Below are 27,773 nucleotides of genomic sequence, written 5' to 3'. Positions count from 1 at the left end.
TTTGTCAAAGCCATTTTTTATCATTGCTTTTTTGTCTTTATATTAGACTATTTGATGTAAGGTAAATAACCACTGTTAATATTTTTTAGCTCTCGAATTGTTATACAAATTAGAAAAGCGGGAAATAAGGCTTGGAAACAAATCTGGTCACACCAAAGATTGTATATAGTAAATACATAAAGAGAACTAGGTGTCGAATTCAACCCTATTAAATGAAATTCCCAATTCTTATTTGAAGGCCCATTTTTAAAGGCAATCTCATTGTATTTACTATATTGAAATCCAGGGCCGAACAGTAAGAAAACAGTTGAAAAAAAGAATCTACAAAGGCCATTCAGGAACCTTTTGGATGATGCAAAATTATAGATTTATGGCATTAAGAAGCAATTATCTGAATAAAGTTATTATAAGAAAAAGATTCAGGTGAAAAAGCTAATGATATTTTTAGGTAATACATTCCTTAGGACTAGTGAAAATTTTAATACTCAGAGCTAAGTAATCTTCTTTATGTTAAATTATTACATAATATTAAATACAATGTGGAAATCCTAAAATAGAACCTGATAATTTAAAAATACCAAAAAATAGGCCGACCAGGGTATTTTAACTACTTTTACAGGTTGTTGATCAAGCGTCTATAGTCTCCATGTGACTAATTTCCATAAGCCAAATTAGACACTACCTGACTTTTCTCTTTAAAACTGTACATTCTCAGAAGCAAAAAGTCAACATAATTGAAATTTCCCAGCAAAATATAACTTGTGTGCCTTGAATAAGAGCATAAGTAGCTTTCAAAAATTAATAAAGTAAACTTTATTTATCTAGGATTTTATTAAACATGTATACTCGGGATGGGCGCGTATTATATCCCTGAGCCCAGTGCACTGAAGTCAAATTCGAGAAACTACCATGATGGGAAAAAAGCAAAAAAAAGACAAACAGCTCAGTTCTAAGACACAACTCTGAAGTATACATATAAATACTGCTCTCCGGGATCTTCTGTTTCCTTCATATTTTTGATAACTTCACCCAGGCCGTCAACATTTTTTCTACTCCCCATCATTCGTTTGGCCATTCTTCCACAACCTCTCCTGTCCTCCCTAGACTCCAATATTCCCCAGGCTCACAATCTTTCTTTCTAGCCTTTATGTTCTTCCACAAACTGCCAGTGCTCTTCCACAGACCAAAGCTCCCTAACTAAAGATGGTTATTGATGTACAGTACCCGTGTTTTAGTGCAGCAGCAGAATCAATAAACGAGAAAATACTGCTTTGTCAGGCTTCCCCAAAGCATTCTGGGAAACTTTACTGCTTTGGGTGGTTACAGAAACTCTTAATATGGGAGAGTGAGAGCTGGGCTTAGTCCTGTGGTGAGAAATGATGTTCTTCTACCCTCTAGTGACTATAAAGGAATAAGGCAAATGTTGAAGGAATTTTTGAGATGGCTCCGTGTTATTATTTCTTGAATATTAATTTTATTACTAAAAAGAATCAGAGTCTTGGGAACCAAGTGAACTCATACGGTAACAAGACACCTTATGAGAATTATTTTAAAGTGTTCATAATGCAAAGGGTATATCTTTTAGTAAGTATGAGTCAGAACTCTGTTTCCTTCGTATTTTCAAAAGCAAGATTTGAAAGTTTGCTTTCTTCTTAAGTGACTAGTAAAAGTCAGTTTAAAATTCTCTGTTTCTCTCTTTCGCTCTCTCGGTCTCTCATCCGCATCCAAACTCCAGTCTTTGAGCTGGCAGTGGCCCCAGTTTCAAGCTCCTTATTATGTAGAGAAATAAGTAACTGAGGTACAGTGACATTAGAAATCAGAGCTGGCGTATTTATGTGCACATATATGTGGGTGTGCAAATACAGGCATTCACCGAGATCATCTGTACATCTTCCGATCACACACACCACCACCACCACAATTCAGAAACTGAAGGAACAGTCTCAAATACTGCATCATTTCGTAGGAATTATTTTGTTGTTATTTCTCCTTACAAAGTATAATTTCTCCTTAATTTATAAATTAAGTTACAAATACTTTTTTGCTGTGTTTATTTTTACACTAATTTTCACATTTAGTCATTTATGTTACAACTGGCTACTTTAATAACTTCATAAATTAATAATGCATTCTTGCGCCTTTTATAAATCAGACAGAAATGTATAATTGCTTAAAAAGATACTATCAATGTAAAAACTAAATAACCAGCAATTCATGAGAAAGCTTTAAAGGAAATTTTACCAAAAATTTATAAATGGCTTTTTCAAAAGATATTAAAGAGACTTAAAAAGTGTACCACATGTTTCTTTCAACCCTTACATTGCCCCTACAACACCAATGCTAGTTTCCATCTCATGGCAAATAACTTCCTAAAGGGACTAAATCTAACCATGCTAAACTCTAAATAATCCAAGCTTAATGAAGTGTAACACTCTAACATGGCCGGTACATATAAAATGCCACCACTAAAACAAGAGTCAGCTCAAACATCTGGCAATACCCTTATTAAATAAAATTTTTAAAGGAAGGTTGTTTTCTTATTCGTAACAGCAGTAAGAGGAAAAGAATTCTGTTTGATGTAAAGATTGGGTAATATCTATCATGCAGTCATTTTTGTTTGCTACAAAGACAAAGTTTTTAACCAAATGATCTAAAGGAAAAAAAAGTATATTTACCTTGCTGGCACTTAATCGCTTCCGATTTGACCAACGCTAAAGATTTGTGTCCGCGGAATGGTGAAAATGGCAAAATAAAACAGAGGAAGATAGAATCATTATCAATGTAATTATATTATGTTAGATGGTCCAGGTTACATTCAGATAATTAATATCCAAGTTCTGAGGTTATAGAGAAAGCATATTTGAGCAAGAAAATAGAAACAACAACAAAGAGTCACATGTATGTGGTTGTGTTACATCATTTTCTCTAAGTATTCAGTATGAAAAAGCCATGACATAAAAATACTGTTCAATCTTTAGAAGTACATTTTTAAAAATTATCTTAAAACACCATATTATTCTCTCTAAAAAAGCAGAAAGGTTTCTTCTGCTTGAAATACTCAGATATTATAAAAATGTTTAAGAAATTCATGACCACTGATAGTTGATGTTTAGGTTTCCATAGTTTTAGATGCTAGAAAAAAATAATTCCATTTACTTCAAGTAAATCTCAGTATTCAAAACACTAGACAAAATATGAATAATTATTGCATAATTAAGAAAATGTGCTAATGCAGTATCTAAGGAAAAGGAAAAAAATTTCTAAATAGCAAGAAACTTCACCACTGTTCTCTTCTGATCTCTCCTCTGTCATGCTAAGGCTGCTGAATTTGGTCTACAAATTCTCTCCAAGCAAAACCCTCTCATCACTCCTGTCACCATTCAGTACTGCAAAGCTCTACTGTGGCTGGTTAACAAGCTAACTGGTTGTTACAACTTGGATAAATTTGGGAGGTTACAACTCAATTATAAACCTAATTGAGCAGACCACATTTACTATTTTTCTTAAGAAAAAAATACCTTTAGGTAAATGACCGATCCACTTTGCCAATATGTCTTCCCAATACATTAGAAACCAGAAAATTAATAATCTTCAGGGGAAATCCACTTACATTGCATTGACCAGCAACTAGAAATGTTGGTACAGAAATGACTGAAAAATATTCTTCATTAATTACATGTCCCCCAGTGATATTGGGAGTTCAACATTCAGCCTATGACAGAGTTATAGGTACTATAACCTGGATATTAATATCAGGGTTTTGTTTTTTTTTTTTGTATTTTCCTGAAATAGTGACAGATATTTTCACCCAAACCAACCACCAAAATTAATTACCATCTTTTAGGTACACAGGGCTATTTAGGCCTTTTGACACATAGGAACGCATTTGATATTTTTTAACAATTACACAAGATAAAGCATGTAAATAAATTAATGGAAAATGACTATTACTATTCACTTCCTACAATGCTACCAACTACCATATATTGAGTGTCTCTACCCAATTCCAAGCACCATATTTGATAATTTCAATCTTCACAACCCTATAAAACAGACACTCTTTTTATCCTTGTTTCACATATGAGGAAATTATAGCTTAGAGAGGTTAAATAATTCTTTGAGTTAACCAGACCACTGGTGGATCTAGGATTCAGACCCAGGCAGTCTGAGAACAGAGCTCCTAATTTTAGCTACTATTTTTTTCCTGTTTTTTGCCACAAAAAAAGAACACAGAGTATGTTTGTCAGCCTTGCAGCCAGTGTCTTCCCTTCTGCCTGCACCATTCTCATATACATTTAAGTCCCTGGACACAAGAGTAAATTCATAAACATTTTGTACATACTGAGATTTTTGTCAGCTTGGTTCTAAAGCAACAAAGGCTACCTCAAAGATGACTGGAAGAAAAAGGGGTAAAAAACTGAGAATTTAAACTGAAATCTCTCCATCAGAGTTTAAATTAAAATGGAAATTTATAAACAAATTATCTCACCCAAATAATCTACTGATTTCCAGTCCCAAGTGCTAGTTATTCCCACTTAAAATCCCAATATAAAAATCTCTTTAAATATTAACTCAAACTCAATGAAAAGAACAAAGATTCTGATAATCTATTTTACCCCAAGGCTCCCAATATGCACTGTTAGCTGAATAACCACACATGGCCCAGAATAAATTATTCCTCAATTAATTTTCTTTGATCAAATATATAAATGGAAAAAAACTACCAATCAGAAGAGATAAGAGTAGGCAGTTGTCTATATTTCCATTATATATATATATGTTATATATATACATGTTTATCTCCATATGTATATATATATAGGTATTCATATATGTGTATATGTGTATATATGTATATGGATCCATATATATGTGTATATATACATGTATCCATATATATATACACACACATACATATATATCTCCATATACATAAATATGGATATAAAAATTCACAAAGATAGCTATTTGAATATGCAGCTATTTTCATGGAGAAATCAACTACCTTTACAAACCCAACTTGAATAAATATGGATATGGAGATAAATATATATGTATGTGTGTGTATATATATGGAGATATATATGTGTGTGTATATATAAATATATATGTGCATATATAGAGATATATATGTATGTGTGTATATATATGGAGATAAATATATGTGTATATATGGAGATAAATATGCGTATATATGGAGACAAATATATATTTGTGTATATATAAATATATATGTGTGTGTGTGTGTATATATGGGGATAAAAATATATTTGTGTGTGTATATATAATCAATATAGTGTACACTAGGCTTCTGCCAGACAAAGACAAAAGAAAATAAGGAAGCACATGAGTGAGCGGACAGACATTCTGACAAAGTCTTCAACATGGGAGGTGGGGAGTCAGAGGAAACCAGGCCTACACTAAGAGGAAATATGGCTATTCTTGAGCCCTGAAAACATAGTCTCTTTGAGATCTTTTACAAAAACAGCTCCAAGCTGAGTCTAGTATTAACTGTTCTGCAATTTGAAATAAATTGAAACTAAAATGGCATTATGTTAAAACTCTAAATTTTGACAATATTAAATATCTTTTAAGTGCCAATATTACTGCTAAACATAATCTAATATGCTATAGAAAACTTCACAAAGGCAGTCATTTGAATATGCAGCTATTTTCATGGAGAAATCAACTACCTTTACAAGCCCCACTTGAATATATAAGAAATTTTTTGACGATATCAGCTGGCAAGTTGTCAACCACGTGACAAATAACTATTTACATTGCATGCTATAACCTAGCCCCCAGCTCAAGTCACCGGTCACCTACTGTATCACTGACACTGAATCCAGAGTCACGGATGCAGCAGCAATGCTGTCAAGATCAAGAAGAAGCTAAAGAAAATCCCTCCTTCTTTAGGTGGGATGAGAAAAAATACTTTTATTTTCAACATTAATTTAAGACATTTTAACATTAAAATATCTCTTTTATTGAGGTCACAAGTGTCAACAGGGCCACTTTTTAAAAAGAAGTAATAAAAGGAACTCAAGTTAAAAATAGCAGATATTTAGTTGAATCTTTGAAAAGGTAACTGAAAAGTCACACTACAGTTTTCCTACTGCTTTAAGCTATCTTCTCTGAGTTTACTAGTAAATCAATCACGGTTTTCATCATAAAAAGCTACAACTAGAAGCATAAGTGATGTCAAAAGAAAAATATTCTCCTCACCCACCCCACTGCCTCAATTCAAGAAGCATTACTGGAGACCTAATTATAAATAGGCTTTATATTTTTATATTGGATTATAAACATGCTAAATTATAACACATCTTAAAAAGCAGGTACTTCAATTGGCTTTAAAAATACTTTTCAAATAAGTCATCATCAAAGATGCTTTTGTTCTAATATAGCCTTAGAATTATAAAATATAATCCCAAATAAAATAAGATTATGATTTGTATCCACATTTTTGCTCAAAAGAAGAGTCCCAATCATATTGTGACAAAGTCTAATGCTTCACTGATGTTACAGACATCTTTGATAGGTACTGTATCAACTAGAAATTTGCATGTACTAGACTAGAGAACATTAAAATTTGTATCTTCCCAAAAGAACTCCCAATGGAAAACTTGGTAGCTAAAAGTAAAAGAAGAAAGAAGAAACCAAAATGCTGCAAATGTATGCCTGATCATCTTAATAACACAAAAGAAATAATTCCTTAACAAATTTCCTTTCCGGTTCCTCAAAGAAGAGCATTGTATTAAAAAACAGATATTTTAAGACTCCATAAAATGTTGCACCCCCCCTAAAATAATTGCAAAAACATCAGTCATCTGCTAGCTATCAAGGGACAATTGCAATGAGCCATTTCAAAACGACAAAATGAGAGGTTTCAAAAGAATAGAAGGTCCCACTTACGTGTCTCTTGAAATCACCCTGTTTTACCACTAGGTTCAAATTTAACACGATCACTCCCATGTCATCTTCTAAACTGTTTGGATCTTCCAGTTTTAAAATATGTTCAGTTGTTCTACAAGCAAAAAGCAACAAATAATGCTACCACTTATTGACAGGACTGTATTGACCTACACGCATCAGGAGCTTATGGTAAAAGTCTCCTACCTCTGAATAAGGATTAGACATGATGTTAAGAAAGCACAAAATTTAGTGAAAATAAAACAGTTATATTCAGAGTAGAGAAACTGTTTGGCATTGTTTAATTCAACAGTTGGTTAACTGATCCCCCTCCCCTACCACTCAAATAAAATGTAAACACTTGTTTTAATTTTAAGTTATGTTAATGAAACTGAATATTAACAAATCAAAGTATGAAATCCAATACACACTTTAGAATGCATTATAAAATACTTAACATCTGACTAATATATTTGGCACCTGGAAAGCAAAAATCCTTAAAAATACACTGACAGTTATAACACTTTAAAGCTCTCTTTCATTTGTTCAGATATGTTATTTTTGTCATTTGACCTCAACAAGCACCATTTAACATTATCGTAAGTTCCCTCTAAAACTCATCAATAACAATTAAAATGTAAAAATACGGTACCTGTTAAGCTCAAGATCACTGAGAATGACAAATGCAGAACCCATGAAATCAGATGTGGTTAAATCTCGATCATATACCTACAAAGAGGACAGAGGTCAATTAACACATTATTATGGTAAACCAACTGAGTTTTTCAAATTATTAACAAATGCAATAGGTTGGAAATTCTGAAATCAGTCTTTCAGATCTTGAAATACTTTGCATAGTATAGTTAAAGAGAAATTTAGTCAAGCCAATGCAGAGAACAAAATTATTCAATCTTGCCCATTTTGCCTACTATGACCAAAATAACAGCAACAATTTCTTTTAAGGCAGTATTTATATCCATTGAAATGTTATGCACAATGGACCATTCTCTGTAGTTTAAATAGTCTGTCATTAAAATTTAGTATTTTCCACAGTGAGCAGATCTGCCAATTAAATAGAAATTTGCTAAATTTTCTATAGCAATCTCATCCTGCACTCAACTCATGCAGTTTTAACCCAGATGTTGTAGCAATTGATGCTTACAAGGGGTAGCTTGAAGCTCTATTAAGTATAAAGATATTCCTAATGAGAAAGGCTTTAGTACTTGTCACCACTGCAGTACCAGTAATAATTCTTCCACATTTGGTAGACTGAAATGCAATCAATGTAGATATTATTTTCACTGGAGTGTATCTCATTGATTGAAGAGAAACATACAGTTTCAACAAACAGTATAAGGAATTTTTTCTATATTATTATTTTTAATCTGTCCTAATAAAAGAATTAATTTTGGCAAGTTCACGTCTAAGAGGACATGAGAAACTGCTGAGAAATGTTTTTAATAAAGGAGCAGATTTGAAAGCTATCTGTGATTACCTTCACACGTAGCTTTTGATCAAGGCTTTGGATTGGCAATACAACTATCTCATCCCATACTGGGTTCAAGTTCTTATATATGACTTTACTTTTGTACAGCGTCTTCCCATTCAGCTTAAATTTCACATAAGGATCACTTGTGCCTTTAAAAGGAAAAGAAAACAAGACAGAATTTTAAAATACATGTAAAAGCCTGGGACTTTCATTAAATAAAGATCCTTTCCCCACTCCCCAGGCTAATGTCTCCCTGCACAGAGATTAAAGGGCTCGGAGATGGAAGACAGGGAGATATGAAAGAATTTGGGGTAAATGAACGATTTTTTCCCTTTAGTGGTAGAATATAAATGGGCTCTTTGAGTAATTTTTATTTTCTTTCATTGTGGGTAGGTCACTCCTATACTACTCGCAAAAATTCAAGAAGTAAAATCTACCAGCACAAGCTAACAGGGTCAGTAGTCTTAGGGAGAAGCCCACCCTCTCCTAGGAACTGCAGCAAGTCAGTGAAAAGTGAAAGAAATCAGTTTCAAACATTTAGCCAGATGGCTGATTCAACAGAATCCTATACTTGAAAATATAATCATAATAAATAAAATCTCTGGAATCACTGGCTCAAAAGATGGCACGATGGGGCTACAAGTGAAACTGGAGGCGTAGAGATTAAATTGACAAAGTTGCCATTCTTTGCTGCGTCCCCGCACCTGCACTAAAGCAGCCAACATTGTCTCAGCCAGGGCAGCTGAACTCCACATCAGCCAGGCCCTCAGCTGGCCTCAGTGCTGACACCGCTGACCCGCCCGGCTCCTCCCTGGGAGCTTTGAAACAGACGCCAAAAGAAATGAATAATGTCCCTCCAGTCACTCCGCCCAAAGCAAAAAGAAGGGCTGATGGCAGACCCTCCTCCACATTTTTCAGATCAATGGAAGTAAAAAAAAAAAAAAAAAAAATGCCTGCAAACATAATACATGAATTATGTATTGTGCGTGTGTTACATGCATGTGCGTCGCATGATACAATGCTTGGAATACACTTGTTCATTACTACCTAGTGAACGGTGGAAGGAGGAGGCACAAATGAATGAGCAATCAATGAGGAGATAAACGAAGGCCAGCTGATAACGCTACAAAGAAAGAAAATCTAATTTGGGGAGTTACAATACTATAGTTAATTTTGAAACACGGCACAGTGAATAAGCATACAAAGACCAACAGCCCGGTCTGTTCACTGGTATCTCCCCTGTGCCTTGGACAGTACCCAAGATAGGCCCCCAGAATATTTATTGAAATGAATTGCTGATAGCAACGTCAAGCCAATATAGTCTAGGACTATTATATCAAAAATTAATTAGGCTACTGTATCATAACATTTATCAAATCATTAATATCCATCATGCATTACTTCAATCTTTTACTTTTTCAGCTCCTTTTAATATTTCTATTTAGCTCCAGTACTAAAAATTACTGAAAATGGAATGCACTACATTTCCCAGCTATTTGAAATGACATTAACATCACTACGAACTAAAATAGCAGCCATGGTTTAAAAGCCTTACTAGATTAAGTAAGGCATGATTTTGAGAAGTCAGCCTTCCAGTACTGCAAGCGTACTAACTTTAAACAAAAATTAAATAAGCTGCAAATAGATACATATACATAGTCAAATCTCACATTTTAAGTTTGAGAACATAGGAGTAGAAGCCCATCAGTCTTTATTTTAAACTTGGGCATGCACACGCGCGTGCATGCGCGCGCACACACACACACACACACCGTGTTCGGGCCAGTTCTGAGAAGAACAGTAAAAATGAATGCATTCACAGCCATTCAGTGAAATGCTCACTAGTGAGAGTACAGTCGCCCACCCCCTCCCTCCTACAGCAGAAGAGAACACCTCTGGCGAGGCAGACTTTAACAATCATTCTGATATATATATATAAAAAAGTGGGGGAAAACTATAATAAAAAGAGGCCTTTAATTAAATGAAATTGCCACTCTGGGATCAGGCCTTCATGCTTGTCAGCGTACTCTCAAAATAAACATCTCAAAACTAGGCCTCAGTGGTGTCAGTTTCTCACAGGCAAGGCATACTGGGTAATCCCCAGGCATCTTGACAGCTACATAATGTTCAAACTGTTTCACGGGTGAATGGCGGCAGTTGCGTGAAAGAAAATATTAATGTCTGGAATTAATAGAAAAAGGGACCGGGGTTTACAAAGCCAAACAAGGAAAGAGGGTGTCAAGTTAGTGCCGCGTTAATTGTTAGGGAAAATTTGAGAGAAGGGGGAGCACATTGTGATTTTCTCTCTGAGCCTAAGTGCCTCACTGTCAGGGAAGTGACATCTCAACTAGGCAGCTTCTGAAAAGGGGTCGGCCACTCAGGAATGCAACTCCCAGATTATACAAATGATGAGATGACACCTGAATGGGTGGACTTTAACCTTGTTCACTGGGAGCTTCAGAAACAATGAGGCTCTTGTAGTAGTGTGGTACTCGGCGAGGAGAATGAAGCCAGGAGTCCAGAGACGGTGCCTCCATTCTGGGGCCGTCACCAATTCTGCCATGGGGACCTGAAGGAGTCCCTCAGCCTCAGACGTAGACTATCAACATGTTAAGCATTCATGGCCTGAGTGTCCTGCTCCATTCCAAACACACAGCAGTACATATATACATATATATGTGTATATATATACACACACATATATGCACATAAATATACACATACATATATATGCACATACATACATATATATATATATATATGCTAAGCAAAACTAACAGCCAGTCATCAGTCCTCTAAAAATGTTGCACCCACTTCCCTTCCTAACGACCATGTGACAGCCCTTGTTTCTACTCCTGCCCACTGACACTACGGGTCATCATGTCTGCCTCGATGTTGCATCTGTCAGGCATGCTAATGTGCCACAAACAGCTTCCGGCCATTTCCGAGTGTGGCTCCATGCTGAGCACTCCAGGAGGTTACATGGTGCATCCATCCCAGATCCTGCTCTTCTTCACCTAAGGGGCAGCAGGCAACCCAGAAATATAACACAAAGTCCAAGAAGGAAGTGTCCCAACAGAAGTGAACCTGGGAATGAAGATGGCTCATAGGTGGGAAAGATTAGTTCCAGCTGGAGTGCCAGTGGAGGCTGCAATAAAGAAGATGGGAGTTGAAACATGGGTGGATCAGAACAGGCAGAGAAGGTCATTCCAGTAGGAGGCATGTGCTCCAACAGCGAAGGAGGGAAGGAGACTCAAAATGACTAGAGCGGTGTGGTGCCGAGCATGCATTTCAATCTATCCAGAGATTAAGGGAAGAACATATAATGAGAAATAAAGTTGTAAAAAACAGATGAGTCGGAGGCCCAAGTAGCCTATAAAAGCAAAATAAGGAGTTTAGTTTATAATCTGTAATAAAGACAGGTGATTTTCCTCTTCTCCTTTTTTTAATTTTTAAGAAAAGTAATACATGCACACAACTCTGAAAGGGATGAAAAGTAAAATCTCTCCTCTAGTACTCTTCGCGGATTCTCATTTGTCTAATATACCCACCATAAATAGTTTCTTGGGCATTTTACAGGAAAAAAAATAGAATTGTTTTTAGTGGACTCACGCTTTCACAATTAACATTCCTTGGAGCTCTGCTCATACCAGCAATGTAGATCAACTGTTTTTTAAAAAACTAACTGAATATATTTTCATTGCATTGTGTTAGTTTATGTAACTAGTTACTAAATAATGGATATTAATATCTTTTCCAATTTTATTAACTAGTACAAACAATACTACAATAGGCATCCTTCTATAATTATCTTTGGAGTCCATAAGTGATTATATGCAGAGGAAAATTTTAACAATGAAACTGCTGGAGAAATGAATATGAAGGGCCCATGGTTTTGTCTTTTGCTTATGGAATTAAATGAGCCCCTTTATTATGGAAATCAATCAGCCATTGACTATAAGTCTTGTCAGAATTTGTTTAGACTTACGTTATTTCTGACAATAAGTGACTTTCATTTTTATTTCATCAAATTTACCTAAGTTGTATTTACGGCTTTGTAGGTTAACATCCTGTTTAGAAGCAATGTCGTACAAAATTTTAAATTAATTCAGCTATGTTTTCTTCCACTGATTTTATATTCTTTTCTTTTTTTACACCACTTAAGCCTTTGGCTCATCTGGAATTACTTTAATACGAAGAGGGAAGGAAATTCAGGTTCACTCACGAGCAGCAGGGTAAAGTGTTCAGAGCCAAGGTTTAGAAATATAAATCTGACAGCAGCTTATAATTTAGAAGAAAGAAGAAAGAGGGTAAAGCTAGGAAACCTGGTAGTTGAGAAAATATAGCAACAGACAGTTGAGGACTGAGGAGAAAGCTGGCACCAGACCACAAGAAGGACCTACTCAAGGTTTCGGAAAGTCCCCTAAAAAGTACTTCCATAGAACTTCATGGGAGGGGCACTCCACGGATGGGAAAGGGTATGTGATCTAAACCATTTAGAAAAGCTGCTTACTATTTCCCAGCTTAGAACTTTCATAATATAGAGTAAAATATTAAACTATGTTAAGAAATGCAGTACAGACAAATAACAGGCTGGATACAGTGGCTCACGCCTGTAATCTCAGCACTTTGAGAGGTCAAGGCAGGAGGATCACTTGAGGCCAGGAGTTTGAGACCAGCCTGAGTGACGCAGTGAGACCCCCCATCTCCACCGAAAAAAAAAAAGTTTCAAAAAATTAGCTGGTTGTGGTTGCATGTGCCTGTGGTCCCAGCTACTCAGAAAGCTGAAGCAGGAGAATTGCTAGAGCCCAAGATTTAGAGTTTACCATGAGCTAGGATTATGCCACTGCACTATAACCTGGCTAACAGGGCAAGACCCTGTCTCTCTAAACAAACAAAATCAAAAAACACCTTAAAGTTTTCTACTCCATATTTTACAAATGTATTTAAATATAGAAAACATTATTTGGACCACCTATGAGTATATTATTAAATTTCTCCAAATCAAAGCTCCTTTGGAAGGTAAGATTAATGCCCAGAGGTGCCTAATATGCCTGGTAGATGGATTATACTTATGTGATGAATGAATGAATAAATTTTGAAGTTAGATGTACATGGTGAATTAAAGTCTCAGACGTTCCTTTTACTAACTATATAACTTTGGGCCATTTACTCAGCTTCCTTATGCCGTAATATCTTCACTTGTGAGATAGAAAACTATCAACTTCAAGGGATCATTTTGAGAACTGAATGATCCAATATACTTCAATGATAGCAGGCTTCGGTCATTTGCTGAGAATGCCTCACGAATGCTATGTTTAGTATCACTACTGAAGTTATAAAGGGGAAGAGTGTATGACAATGCATGCAGCAGTAATTAAATATTCATTTATTTTACTTTGATTTTCCAAGTTAATGTACACTAATTTGTTTCTATAGTATTTCTTCTATTGCCACCTCTAAAGGTGTGAAATTTATATCATCGTCTCTTAGGTTTGATAGAAAATTCCTTATCTTACTTACTTCTCGCAGGGATTCTGTGTGATTTGGGAACATTTCTATAAAATAATCTGAGCTGTCCTAGAAAGAAAGAGCTGTATAAAAACTAAAAATCACTAAGTCCTCATAAGGACTGGCTGCTTCCTTACCTACTGTTGTATTCATTGAGGATTTCAGACCACTTTGGAGATACAATTAATAAAAATAACAGGCAGCTCAGTAAGGACCCATGGCAACTCAAGTCTATCATCAGGAAAGAGTCACCAAGAACTATAGAATTTGAAGATTTTGTTCTCCCCTTCATTTTACTTATCATTTTTAGGAACTCTTACCACCTTGAGAGTGCTATTGAAGAACATGGCTGGTACCAATACAAATGGTGAATAGAAACAGTCAATATCACATTGAACAGCTCAAGAACAATTGTTAATATGCAAATAAAATGAACCTGTAATGCAGCTCTAATTACAAACAACTTCTCTTTGCTTTTTTTTTGATATAACTCATGGCAATGGTTTTTAAAAAAAAGTTTTTAAAAAAGAAAAAATATTCCCATCTAGAAAAGCTTAATAAGCTGATATGTACTTCAAATTTATATGCTTAAATGTACACTTATCACAAAAAGGGATCAGTCTTTATACAGTATTATTTACCTGCTTTCTTCAATTAATAAGACATCAGAATTCTTATACGCCTTGCTCCAAGACGGAGACTTGCTCTGTGGCTCAGGCTGGAGTACAGTGGCATGATATCGGCTCACTGCAACCTACTCCACCTTCTGGGTTCAAGCAATTCTCCTGCCTCAGACTCCCAAGTAGCTGGGATTACAGATGCCCGCCACCAGGCCCGGCTAATTTTTGTATTTTTAGTAGAGCCGAGGTTTCACCACGTTGGCCGGGCTGGTCTCGGATTCCTGACCTCGCAATCTGCCTGCCTCAGCATCCCAAAGTGCTGGGATTACAGGCATGTAATTTAAATATAAAACCACACCCAGCCCATAAATATATTTCTATGATTCAGTTTAATGTTCACTTTATGTGTATGTCTGTGCATATATATATATAAACTTACCATGTAACATTTTCTAAAAACTAGCATTCCTAATTTGGACTAAAAATCCACTGTGTTGAATACAAAAGCATTATTTGTAGGAAAAGCTTACTTATTTGCTATCAGCAAAGCAGGTTTGCCAAGTTATAAAATTTAGCCATGCAATTTATCCAAAAGAAATGTTGTCTTTAGCTTGAAAAATTTTCTAATCAAATGTATTTCCCAAAGTAGTTGTTTGCTCCTGAAAGGAAATTATCACCATATTTTTACACTAAGTTCACATTTTCGAATATCTGATAACTTTCTTTGGGAGAGCTTAAGATTTCAAATTCAAGTCAACAATTATTTACTAGCTCTTTAGGGACACTGAGCTACATATATAAAACCCCAATGACAAAACTAGTATTTGGAAACATATAAAACGTATATATTTTAAATTTTTTATCTAATAGGGTAAGAGTAATAAGTGACTATTCTATTTACACACATACATTTATAGTCTTCTGAATATACACACATATTTAGGATCTTCTCTTTTTGTTGGGAAAAGAATCAGCCCTGAGCTTCTTTTAGATGGACTCTGTAAGTTCTGACTTTGACACCAGAAAAAATAAAAATAAAAACGTTGTTTCTAAGTTTTGAACAGGTGCTGCTGGCCTCTTACAGTAGAGCTGAGCTACTCAGCTCTAGTGCGGCTCTTTTAATTGACCTCTTCAGAAACCCTAATGGACATTATGGAAATTTACAGGACATTTTTCCTCGGCCATCTGAGAAAGAAGGAACTTCTCCCATGCAGAGAAAAATCTATATTACTTCAGATAGTGGTAGATTCAAAGCAGCAGAATTCCAAGCCAGTGGTTTTATCCACCAAAATAAACAGAACATGCACATTCCCAGGCTTATCATGGCCCATCTTTCTTTTGCAGATAAGGGCCGCATGCTTCTCACAGCTGTTTTTGATACCAACCACAGAACAGTTTCTTCCCCAGTCTTCTACTGGCCTTCCTGTCCATGTTTTGCCATTTAGCACACTCTGATTGAACTATTCCTGAACTTCTCTCCCAAATACAATTGACTTCCTTCCTCTAAATGGACCTGCCATGTATAACATTTCATTGGCTCCTCGGGCAAGGTCTGCCCATGGACAGACCCTGAGATGTAATAGCTCCAAGCAATTTACCAAAGTCCAATTTACTGGAAGAATTTCCAATGACCAATATACAGCGAAATCAGTGACCTGAAATTTTCAATGTTACTAAAACTTGTTTAACTATTTATAAAGTTTATAGCAACTCATAGAGGATAAACAATGAGACATAAGGCAGGTCTAGGGAACTGGGGAAGGAGGTCTTCCTGGGTCTTCGGATTCTTCCCTGCACCACAGCCCCCCTGAACTTCCTCAGCCCCACCCCATACCATCCCAGACCTCCACATGCCTCCCCTGCCTTCTCCTACTCTCAGTCCCTCCCCAACCTCTTCCCCTAACATCTTGTCTTTTTCTGTCCTTACACTTCCCCTTTGTAGATCTGCAGCTTAAATTATGACATATTCAGTCTCTTCCATCATTTATTGTTTTGGCTTGACACAAATTAAATATTGTTTAAAATGCTCTTTTGGCTTTGTCTTTATAACCCATCAACTAAGATGAGCCAGAGACCTTCAAAAGCTATTTTTAAAAGTCCCCATCCAATATTTTTATGAATATCAATAGCTATAACTTTATAAATAGAAGAAGAAAAACACTGTCAATATATTAACATGATGAATTCAGTAATTTCAGTGAATTGGTCATTTGGTTGAATAGATGATTGAACTAATTGGCTTTTGGCAAAGTGGTCATTAAAAACATATGCCTGGGCTGGGCATGGTGACTCATGCCTGTAATCCCAGCACTTTGGGAGGCCGAGGCAGGTGGATTGCTTGAGCTCAGAATTCAAGACAAGCCTGGGCAACATGGCAAAATCCAACCTCTACAAAAAATACAGAAATTAGCCAGTCATGGTGGTGCGCAGCTTTTGTCCCAGCTACTTGGGGGGCTAAAGTCGGGGGACTGCTTGAGCCTGGGAGGCAGAGGTTGCAGTGAGCCAAGATTGTACCACTGCACTCCAGCCTGGGCAACAGAGTGAGACCCTGTTTCAAAACAAACAAACAAACAAACACTCCCATATGCCTGCATCTCTATTCTTGGTCACCCCAATAAGGGTGTGAACTTCGGCTTAGAAACCTCATACATGGTTGTCCCTGTAACACCAAAAAACGAGGGCCCCATGTAAAGTTAGAAGAAGGCAATGACAACATAGAAAAAAGGGAGAGGAGAGGCAGCAGCTAGAATACTACAATAAAAAGAGACTAGAAAGGTTTAGAGGAGAAAAAAAAATAAGAAAGGAGTAAGCCAGAGAATCAATGAATACAGTTGCTTAGAATCTGTATAAAGGGTGAAATCTACAAGACCTATATGCATATTAGTAATCTGTGTTCCAGAAACCCATTATTACCAAAGCATACATGATTATTGATACTCTCGCATTCTCCTTATTAAAAATTACTAAAAATAATCCCCCACCCAAGCCACTATTTAAGCACAAATCTAAGTCTAAGAAAATAGACACCAGCCTTTATAGAAAAAAATAGAACAGGACCAAAATTCAAGAATAACATTAACATGGGAATGATCTCCTTTAATCCTACAAAAGGAGATAGACATGCTTTACACTGCTTCTTTAAGGATGAGGAATACTTTTCAGCCTTATAAAAGGAGATCCTGCCATTTGCAATGACATGAATAAACCTGGAGGACATTATGCTAAGTGAAATAAGCCAGGCATAGAAAAAACATGCCATGTGGTCTTTCATATGTGGCATCTAAAAAGAAATCAAATACACACAAACAAAAAGTAGAAGACTTTTTTCCAAGTGAAGGGGAGCAAAGAAATAGGGTGAAGTAGGTCAATGGCACTGAGGTGCAGTTATGTAAGATGAGTGAGTCTGGAGACCTACCATACGATGAGGACTCTAGTTAATGGAAGGGTATTGTATATTAAAAATGTATTAAGAGAATAGATTTTAAGTGCTCTTACCACACACAAATAAGTAACTATGTGATGATGGATATGTTAATTGGCTTCACTGTAGGAAGCATTTCACTATGTGATATGGTTTGGATGTGTGTCCCCATCCACACCTCATATTGAGGTGTAATCCCTAATGTTGGAGGTGGGGCCCGGTGGGAGGTCATCCGGTCATGGTGGTGGATTTCTCATGAATGGCTCTGCATCATCCCTGTTGGTACTGTCTTCATGACAGTGAGCGAATTCTCAAGAGATCCGATTGTTTAAAAGTGTGTGGCACCTCCCTGCTCTCTCTCTCTTGCTCCTGCTCTGACCATGTGACATGCTTGCTCCCTGGAAGCCATGATTCTAAGCTCCTCAGAAGCCAGCATCATGCTTCCTGTACAGCCTGTGGAACCATGCGTCAATGACGGCTCTTTATCTTTATAAATTATCCAGTCTCAGGTATTTATAGCAATGCAAGAACGGACTACTAATACACTATGTATATCAAAACATCATGTTGTGCCTTAAATACATGTAATAAAAAATTTTTTTTAAAGGATGAGGAAAGTTAGAAAGTTCAGAGCTGAGCCTTGAACCCAGATTGTTTTCACTCTAAAGGCTTCAGAACTACAGTAATTTTACAAAATAGCCCCCAAATTCTGTGGTACTTAATAAAAAAGTAGGGTATCTGTCCCCATTCCTCTTGAATTGGGTGACTGCTTCAACCACTGTGGTGCAGTGTTCCTTCCAAGGCTGCATCATAAAAGATGACGCAGCTTCTGCCTTGTGCTGGGACCCTTGTGCCTGGAGCCCTGAGCTTCCACATAAAAAGCTTAGTGACTCTGATGCTGCCATGTCATGAGGAAGACATGCTGCATGGGGAGGCCTCATGTGGAACCATCTTCATCTTCCAGACACCTGATTCCACACACACAATATGGGAATCAACAAACCTTCAAGTCTTCCAAAGATAGGACCCCAATAGCCAAGTCCTCCCAACCTTCAACTCTTCCCAGGTGAAGCCCCAGACAGCATGCAGCAAAAACAGGCCAACTCCATTGGGCTTTGTCCAAACTTACACTCCCAGAATTCACGAACACATGGTTGCTACTGAGATTCAAGGCAATTTGTTACATAGAGAGAGTCTCAAGAATAACACCCTTCACCATGACAGGCCACACTCCCTGCCTCAAACTCAGCAAGGAATGATGGTGTGATAGGACTAACTGTCACTGAAATCAAAACTCAGACATGAGTAAATCACGGACATGTGGGAATACACAACACACATCAACGTGCGCACAGGCAGAATATCTCTTACCAACTTTACAGACAATGAAACAAATACATTAAAAGAGTGACTTGAAACACAGCAAGTATCATCGTGGTATAGAAATAAACACTTGATAGGCCGGGCGCGGTGGCTCACACCTGGAATCCCAGCACTTTGGGAGGCCAAGGCGGGTGGATCACGAGGTCAGGAGATCAAGACCATCCTGGCTAACACAGTGAAACCCCGTCTCTACTAAAAATACAAAAAATTAGCCGGGCGTGGTGGCGGGCACCTGTAGTCCCAGCTACTCATGAGGCTGAGGCAGGAGAATGGTATGAACCCGGGAGGCAGAGCCTGCAGTGAGCCGAGATCACGCCACTGCACTCCAGCCTGGGTGACAGAGCAAAACTCCCATCTCAAAAAAAAAAAAAAGAAAAGAAATAAACACTTGATAAAAACCACCCCCTCAAGAGAAGCCCCAATCAAGCAAATAGAAGACATGCTACATTTAATTCAAGCCAATGATGTTTGGTTGGGTGTAAGGCAATTTTCTTACACGCAGCAGGAATAGAAAACATCCCAATTTTGCTCCAAGGTATTTCATAGGAATTGAGATGGGGTTCCACAGAAACAGATAAACTGACTCTATAAAGCAGCAAAGCATCAAGACATTCTGATCAATCCACAAGACTGCACAGAGTCCCAAAACAAAACCATACAACAAAAATCTTCAGAGGAAATGGTTCAGTTGTGGGAATACATTAAAGACTGTTGGGACAAACATGTCCGGTGATGATATGTACCAAGTGGCAAAGGAATAAACAGAAACCATTTTAAAACTCAGCTCTAATCACTTACTGCAGGACATCCACAAGCTACCAAAACTCAAAGAGTGAAGGAAAACCACTCCTGTGTTACAGAATGGGTGTCTGCATCTTTGAAAGGTTCACATTTGCTCTTGAACAACAATTTTTCTGATACACTGGCCCAGATGTGGCCAATGATCTCATGCCATCTGGTGTTCAGAGAAGGTACTCCAATGAGAAGCAAATCCCAAATGTTGCAAAATAAAAAGGACTGAATTTTCAATACAATAAAACTCTGGTGTGGAGCTGATGCCGAACAAGAGAACAACATCAATAGGAATCAAAGAGAAATTGTTGAAGCAGGCTCCAATATGTGCTGCAATTTAATGTATACTTAAAAAGTGACCGTCACATCATTACGAAAAGAAATATTTAGTCCTAGTTAGATAGATAGCCATTTGGTTCAAGTAAAACTCAGTTCCTACTCTGGGCCAGAAACTAAGTAAACTTGACAGAGATCAAAGAAATAAATGAAAAAATGTAAAACTAGATAGAAAAGAGAAGAAATGTAGGTGAATGTGTGTGTCTCTCAAGAAGCTTTCTAGATAAAAAATGACACTTTCCAGAAAAGAATCGTAAGATTAAAAATATTTTTGCAACAAAAACTTTATAAACACAATCTAAAGGCAAGTGACAAATTTAAAAAATGCATGTGAACATGCCCAGGAGACAGAATGAACAAGTGATGCATGGAACAGACTATGCAGAGAAGCAAATATCTCATTAACCAAACATATTTAAAGGTCCAAATTGATGAAAACAATTTAAAGAAAAAAACAAGACAACACTTTCCTTCTATCAAATTAACAAAGATATGGCTAGGCACGGTGGCTAATGCCTGTAATCCCAGCACTTTGGGAGGCCGAGGTTGGGGGGGGGTGGGGCGGGGATCACCTGAGGTCAAGAGTTCGAGACCAGCCTGGCCAACAGGGTGAAACGCCATCTCTACTAAAAACACAAAAATTAGCCAGGCGTGGTGGCCCATGCCTGTAATCCCAGCTACTCAGGAGGCTGAGGCAGGAGAATTGCTTGAACCCAGGAGGCAGAAGTTGTAGGAAGCTGAGATCATGCCACTGCACTCCAGCCTGGGTGACAGAGCGAGACTCAGTCTCAAAAAAAAAAAAAGTAACAATAATATTCCACATAACAAGGTAGGTGAGAAACAAAAAGTGGCCCACTTTCACACACCAGTAGGTCAACAAATAGGTCTTTCTCAAGAGTAAATTGGCAATTTTTTAATGAGAATCTTGAAATGCTCAGATCATATAACACAAAAAATGCAATCCACCTGAATAAATAACTCACTTGCAAATATATGAAAAAGTAACCTGTACACACAGATTTAGGTATAAGAACGTTTGTTGTGGCATTATTCCTAATGTTACAAATTTTGAACAAACTTAATTCAGAATGTTGACTGAACAAAGTATGGTGCCCTAAGCTTTTAATTTCTTCTCCAAAATAAAGTTTTTATAATACAGAGAAAAATGTGTAGAGAGAAAACACCAGGTAACCAAACATTTAAAAGCCAGATTCTCTTTCATTTTAGAAAGAAAAATAGATTTTAAAAATCGGGGCGGGCCAGCCACGGTGGCTCATGCCTGTAATCCCAGCACTTTGGGAGGCTGAGGCAGGCAGATCACAAGGTCAGGAGATCGAGACCATCCTGGCCAACATGGTGAAACCCCCATCACTACTAAAAATACAAAAATTAGCTGGGCATGGTGGCGCATGCCTGTAATCCCAGCTACTCGGGAGGCTGATGCAGGAGAATCACTTGAACCAGAGAGGCAGAGGTTGCAGTGAGCCGAGATCGCGCCACTGTACTCCAGCCTGGCAACAGACCAAGACTCCGTCTCAAAAAAAAAAAAAAAAAAAAAAAAAATCGGAGCGATGGAGTAGAGTAGGTTCAGAATTTCGGTAAGGCCTAGTGGTGTGCCTTCGTCAACACCAGTTTTACTCATGAAGGGGCATTTTCTAGGTCAAATTTATGATGGGGAAAATTAAACCTCAATCCACGACAGAGTCTTTATTCAAATAAGGTGCCTTTTAAAAGAGTCTCTCATTTCTCCTGTTTCACAGAAAATAAGACCTGACCTCAAGAAAACACCTTTCACAACCCTCACACCACCCAGGTTAGAGGTGGTGGTGGCGGCAGGGGGAGGAACTTTTATCTCAAAAGAAGTAAAAGAGCAAAAAGATACACAAAAAGTACAAAAATTGATGAGGAAACTGGGAAGATAAGCCCACGATAAAAAGGATGGGGAAATCACAAAGTCATTCCTGTTCCCACAGGCGAAATGCAAAAACAAAACCCAAACTAGAATAACTATACCAAGAATAACTATGACAATTCACACGGCAATAGTAACAGCTAATGTTTATTGCATATGACTGTTTCAGCTCCACCCACCTCACGGCCCCGCCCCACGACCACCACCAAGTCTCCACAAGCACACACACCAGGTTAATCCTACCGCAAGCCTAGCAGGCTCATGGCTAGACCGTGTCTGAGCTAGAATCCAAACTCCGGTGGTCCATGTCCAAAGCCCACGCATAACCCTCACCCACCATCCAGCACTCTTCAGCACGTCACATCATGACACAAAACAAAATGATGTCTGTAGGGCACAGCAGGGTTTATGGTGGCCCAAGCCTAACAGAGGTGCCCAGAGGGCTGCCAGAATGAATACTTCAGTACATCCCATTCAGAACACACCTGTTGGGAAGCTACACCGCTGCTCAGTATACAATACAGAGTTCTAGCAACATCATAAAAATTAGCCTGCTAAATAGCAAAAGAAAACCAGGACTTAAATCAGTCATTTTAACTTTTTGGTAACAATTTAGTAATTTATTAAACAACAATAATTGAATAATAATATAATAAACAATAAGATAACAATTATTTAATAATAGTAAAAATTATGCTATGTAACAGCGATTACATAGCATAATTCTCACAGTATCGAGAGATCTTTAAATTTTTTCTCTGAACTACTCCTTTTAAATATGAACTTGACTTATGTAGCACATTTTTTTCCATTATCTGCATATAAAGCTGCCATTGCTCTAGAAACGAACGTCAGATATCTACCTGTGCTGGAAATTGAGAAAGAGAGCAGTTTTCTGAATGAGTGTTCATTTATTTTCATCCACTAAAACTCGCATCAAAAAAGACCATCAAACCTCAACCTACAGCTGAAGTGATTTTCACGGCCCTAGTAATGTGACAGCGAACTTCCATTAACTTTTCTTTTCCTTTTGCAACGCTACAGAGTGGCCACAAGAGGGCACCAGCAACACAGTATTCCCTCAGCCCACAGTGGTAAACTACTACAGCGGCCTAACATTACAGCAAAGCACAGGGTTTTAAAGCGAGGGCTATTGTTTTCCACGTATTAGCGCTCTACGAGCCAACAGGGTATGAGCTGAGCATTTTGCACAGGACGAGAGACCTGCCCATATCGCAAGGCTGAAGTTCAAGCCAGGCCTGGAGCATAAGACCAGCTCTAAGACGCCAGAACACCTCCTCCTCGGCCACATTCCTTCCCATGGGAAATGGACCCAGGGTTCAGTTTCCTCCATGCATCAACCAAATCATGAAGCAGTTGGAATTAAAGGCGATTGCTCACATATTTCTTCTGCTTTACCAGTCTCAAAGTTTAAGACAGCCAAGAGCTACTCAGATCGAGAACTTAAAACAAGTGTAAGTCCTATTTGGTCGAAAACAATACATCTTGTATAACATCCCGGAAAATAATGGAAAGGAAATGGGGAATATAAGGAAATAAAAGGAAAACGTTAGGATGAAGAAAAGGAGAGTAGAAAGAGCAAAGAAAGATGAGAGAAATAGAAGAGGGGACAGGGAGGGTCAGATGAACACAACACACAGGCAATGGCTGAGACAGCAGACATGCAGGAAGATGGCGGCCATTCTTCCTATGCGGATTGCTAACGAAGGTGAGCTCAATGCCATGCCTGGACCATTGACAGCATCAGAGTAAGACTCGTTCTTAGAAAGACCACTACAGCAGCCAAAGTCATCCAACAATAAATAATAACAGTAATAATAACAGGGCTGCTTAGTTTACTCCTGAGCTCCCCAATACCAGACCTCCTATTGTCAAGGCTGAAGGCCCACATGCCAAAGATTCAAAGGAAATTCTTGAAGAACTGGAAAACCACCTGCAAGGAACAATCTTCTAAATGTGGCCACACTTCCAGAGCTACCTGATCCAAACTTCTCAGCCTCCCATGATAGTCTTCTGTGCCCATGATTATTCATGGGTATTAAGCATGCTTAAGACAGGGAGTTCTTAGTCTCCCACCAACTTCATTTTTCATTACCCATAGGTTTTTGTTTTTTTAAGTCTGCACACATACACACACTGAGAGGCCACAGCTAAAGACCCTGAGGTGTCCTGGTGGCAACTATACAACATTACCCCTTTCCCAACACCATTGCTAAACCTGCCCATTGTTCTGAAGCCAGACTTCCTTGTGAGTCTTTCTAAAGAACAATTAACAATGGTGTAGTTCAGCAATCTTCACCAAAACTCCCAGAAAAATCTCCAAATCCCACCTTGATAACCTGCTTAACATACCAGCTCTGTGTTTGAACCAGGGAAGGGAGTGATTTAGATAAAACCTCACAGCTCTTTATGCCAGTGAAGCCTATTTCCCAGCCTCTCGCTGACGGCATCACAGCAGAGACAGGGAACTCTGGTATCTGAGACCTTTTCTGCATGTGTTTCCTCGTGGGCAAAGTCACCAAAAACTTCCTATGCTCAATCACATACCCTCTAAGCACTTTCTAACATCCTTTCTTGGGGTTTGTGAGCTGTCTTTTCCTAAGGGAGACACCATATTCTTCCACTCCACTGCTGAGTTAAATAGCAAGAAAATGACTTTTTATTACCCAACATCTCCGGATTTTTCTGCATGATTTCATGTCGTATTTCCAAGATGCTTCCGCTGAAAGCATTAGCCTCAACTCTTGATGACTGCCTAATGAGATTATACCATCTTTGTTGTAGATGTTTTTAAAGCAGTTTTTCAAAGCAAGAATCCAAAAATCAGACCATGATATTCTAGGCAGAGGTCAACAAACTTTGGCCCATCAGTTAAATCCAGACCACTGCCTGTTTTTGTAAATAAATTTATATTGGAAAACAGCTATGTTCATTTGTTTATTGTCTATGGCTGCTTTCTCACTATGTCAAGAGTTAATTTTCACTTATAGCCCATAAAGCCATAAAAAGTCTACTAATCCATGTTCTAGACAGAAAGTAACAGACAGTAATGATTATGTAACAATCCGAAGAAAATGCAGAACTCCTTCCTTAGCAGAGAGTGATTCATCAAAATAGCTTTTCTCCCTAAAAAAAAAAAAATTCAAAAACAGGGGCTGTGCAATTGGAATTAAAGGCCCTAAAGCTGCTGCTCCTCCATGGTCAAGGTTGCAACACATTTGAATAACTCTGAAGGAGCCTCTGTCATAATAAAAAATATGTGATTAATTAGATCCGTGTTTTTTACTTAAAATTAAATACATGATTCCACATAGGAAAATAAAATACAGGTGACTCTTGAAAACATGCATTTGAACAACTGCAAGGGTTCACTTATACAGAATTTTTGTCCTCCTCTGCATCTCCTGAGACAGCAAGACCAAACCCTGGTCTTTCACCTCCTCCTCAGCCAATTGGATGTGAAGACAATGAGGGTGCAGGCTTTTATGATGATCCACTTTCACCTAACGAATAATAAATCTACTTTCTCTCTTTTATGATTTTCTTAACACTTCTTCTCTAGCTTACCTTATTATAAGAATACAGTATATAATACATATACAAAATATATGCCAACGGGCTGTTTATGTTATCAGTAAGGCTTCTGGTCAACAGTAGGCCACTAGTAGTTGTGTTTTGGGGAATTCAAAAGTTATATGTGGGTTTCTGACTGCATGAGGGGTTGGCACCCCTAACCTCCTGCATTGTTTATTGATTAGCTGTATTTTAAAAACCCTATGCTAAAGACAGATCATAGAGAGAGCACAGAGAAATTGGCAAACTGACACAAGTTAGGGACCAAGCATCTAATTCAATGACGGGGGAGCTGACATGGAACACAGCAATGAGTTCTGTACTGGGAGTCAAGAACATGGCCAACTTGCATTATGATTATTCATTAATTACTATAACAACATATCTATTGCCTATTTTCTAAATGTAGGCCACTATGGCATCTATACATCTTTATTAATAATAATAGTACATATTTATGGGGTACACGTAATATTTTGATACATGCATACAATGTGTAATGATCAAATCAGCCTAATTGAAATATGCATCACCTCAAACACATCATTTGTGTTGGGAATATTCCAAATCTTCTCTTCTATTTTGAAATATACAATAAATTATTATTAAGTATAGTCACCCTACTGAGCCATTGAACACTGTAACTTATTCTTTCTACTGTATTTTTGTACCCCTTAACCAACCCTTCTTCATTTTCCCCATTCCCACCCTTCCCAGCCTCTGGTAGTAAGCATTCTCCTCTCTGTCTCCACGGATCAACTTTCTAGCTCACACGTGAGTCAGAATATGGGATATTTGTCTTTTTGTGCCTGACTTATTTTACTTAACATTTTGTCCCCCAGCCTCATCCATATTGTTTTACTTTTTTCAGTCCTTACAATCACATTATGAGGCAAGGTACATCACACCCATTTTAGAGAGGTTATGTAAGTTGTACAAGGAGGTCACAAAGCCAAGTAGTAGACCAAATCCAAATCCTCTTCTTGTCCCACTGAGCCACCCAGTCTGCTCTGAATCTTGCCTCCCAACGTGACCCTCAATAAGTCATTCAATTTTTGTGCTTCCATTTCCTGAATTAAAGCTTCCATTAAATCAGCAGCTGGACCAGGTGACCTATATGAAAGTCATCTTCATCTCTGAAATCATATAAATCCTTTTTGCTGACTTTCATCACCAAGCCCCAGAAGAACACCAGTGTAGTGCCCATTTCACTGAGGAAACCCAAGACATGCTTGTTGAATAAGGGAGTAAGTGACTAAATACTGTTCATTCTGAAAAGGTACTTTCCCTTGTATAACAGGCCTCAATGCTCCTTAAGTCCAGCACTGAAGTTGGATTTCTTCAACGAAGAACTAAAATTTATTAAAAATATTCTGTGTATAAACCATCAGTTATAGCACAGGAGGGCATACAAAGATTAATAAACTAGGGCCAGGCGCAGTGGCTCACAGCTGTAATCCCAGCACTTTGGGAGGCCGAGGCGGGTGGATCACAAGGTCAGGAGATCGAGACCATCCTGGCTAACACGGTGAAACCCTGTCTCTACTAAAAATACAAAAATTAGCTGGGCGTGGTGGCGGGTGCCTGTAGTCCCAACTACTTGGGAGGCTGAGACAGGAGAATGGCGTGAACCCAGGAGGTGGAGCTTGCAGTGAGCCGAGTCTGTGCCACCGCACTCCAGCCTGGGCGACAGAGCGAGACTCCATCTCAAAAAAAAAAAAAAAAAAAGATTAATAAACTATTCTCCCTCCTAATACAGCACTAAGATTGTAATAGAGCAGATCAGTCATTTCCCCAATTAAG

The 27,773-nt window shown here is 37.9% G+C and overlaps 1 protein-coding gene across 26 annotated transcripts in view; it reads right to left on the bottom strand.

Moving 5' to 3' along the window:
- Nucleotides 1–27,773, bottom strand: part of MCTP2 (multiple C2 and transmembrane domain containing 2) — a 252,587-nt gene that overhangs the window by 136,113 nt on the left and 88,701 nt on the right. For 25 of the 26 annotated variants that reach the window (NR_169532.1, NR_169530.1, NR_169529.1 and 22 more), the window contains 4 exons: nt 8,408–8,550; nt 7,565–7,641; nt 6,916–7,027; nt 2,676–2,711 (listed from right to left, as the gene is read on the bottom strand). Coding sequence is in view for 19 of the 26 variants with exons in the window: in XM_047432839.1 (XP_047288795.1) it covers nt 2,676–2,711; nt 6,916–7,027; nt 7,565–7,641; nt 8,408–8,550 (368 nt within the window). In the remaining 7 variants the exon portion in view is untranslated. The remainder of the gene's footprint in view (nt 1–2,675; nt 2,712–6,915; nt 7,028–7,564; nt 7,642–8,407; nt 8,551–27,773) is intronic. The other variant, NM_001385011.1, reaches the window with a different exon arrangement.

The sequence above is a fragment of the Homo sapiens genome, chromosome 15 (assembly GCF_000001405.40).
Source record: "Homo sapiens chromosome 15, GRCh38.p14 Primary Assembly".
NCBI classification, from domain to species: domain Eukaryota; kingdom Metazoa; phylum Chordata; class Mammalia; order Primates; family Hominidae; genus Homo; species Homo sapiens.
The sequence above is the reverse complement of the archived record's forward strand: the minus strand, read 5'-3'. Positions and strand labels throughout refer to the sequence as shown.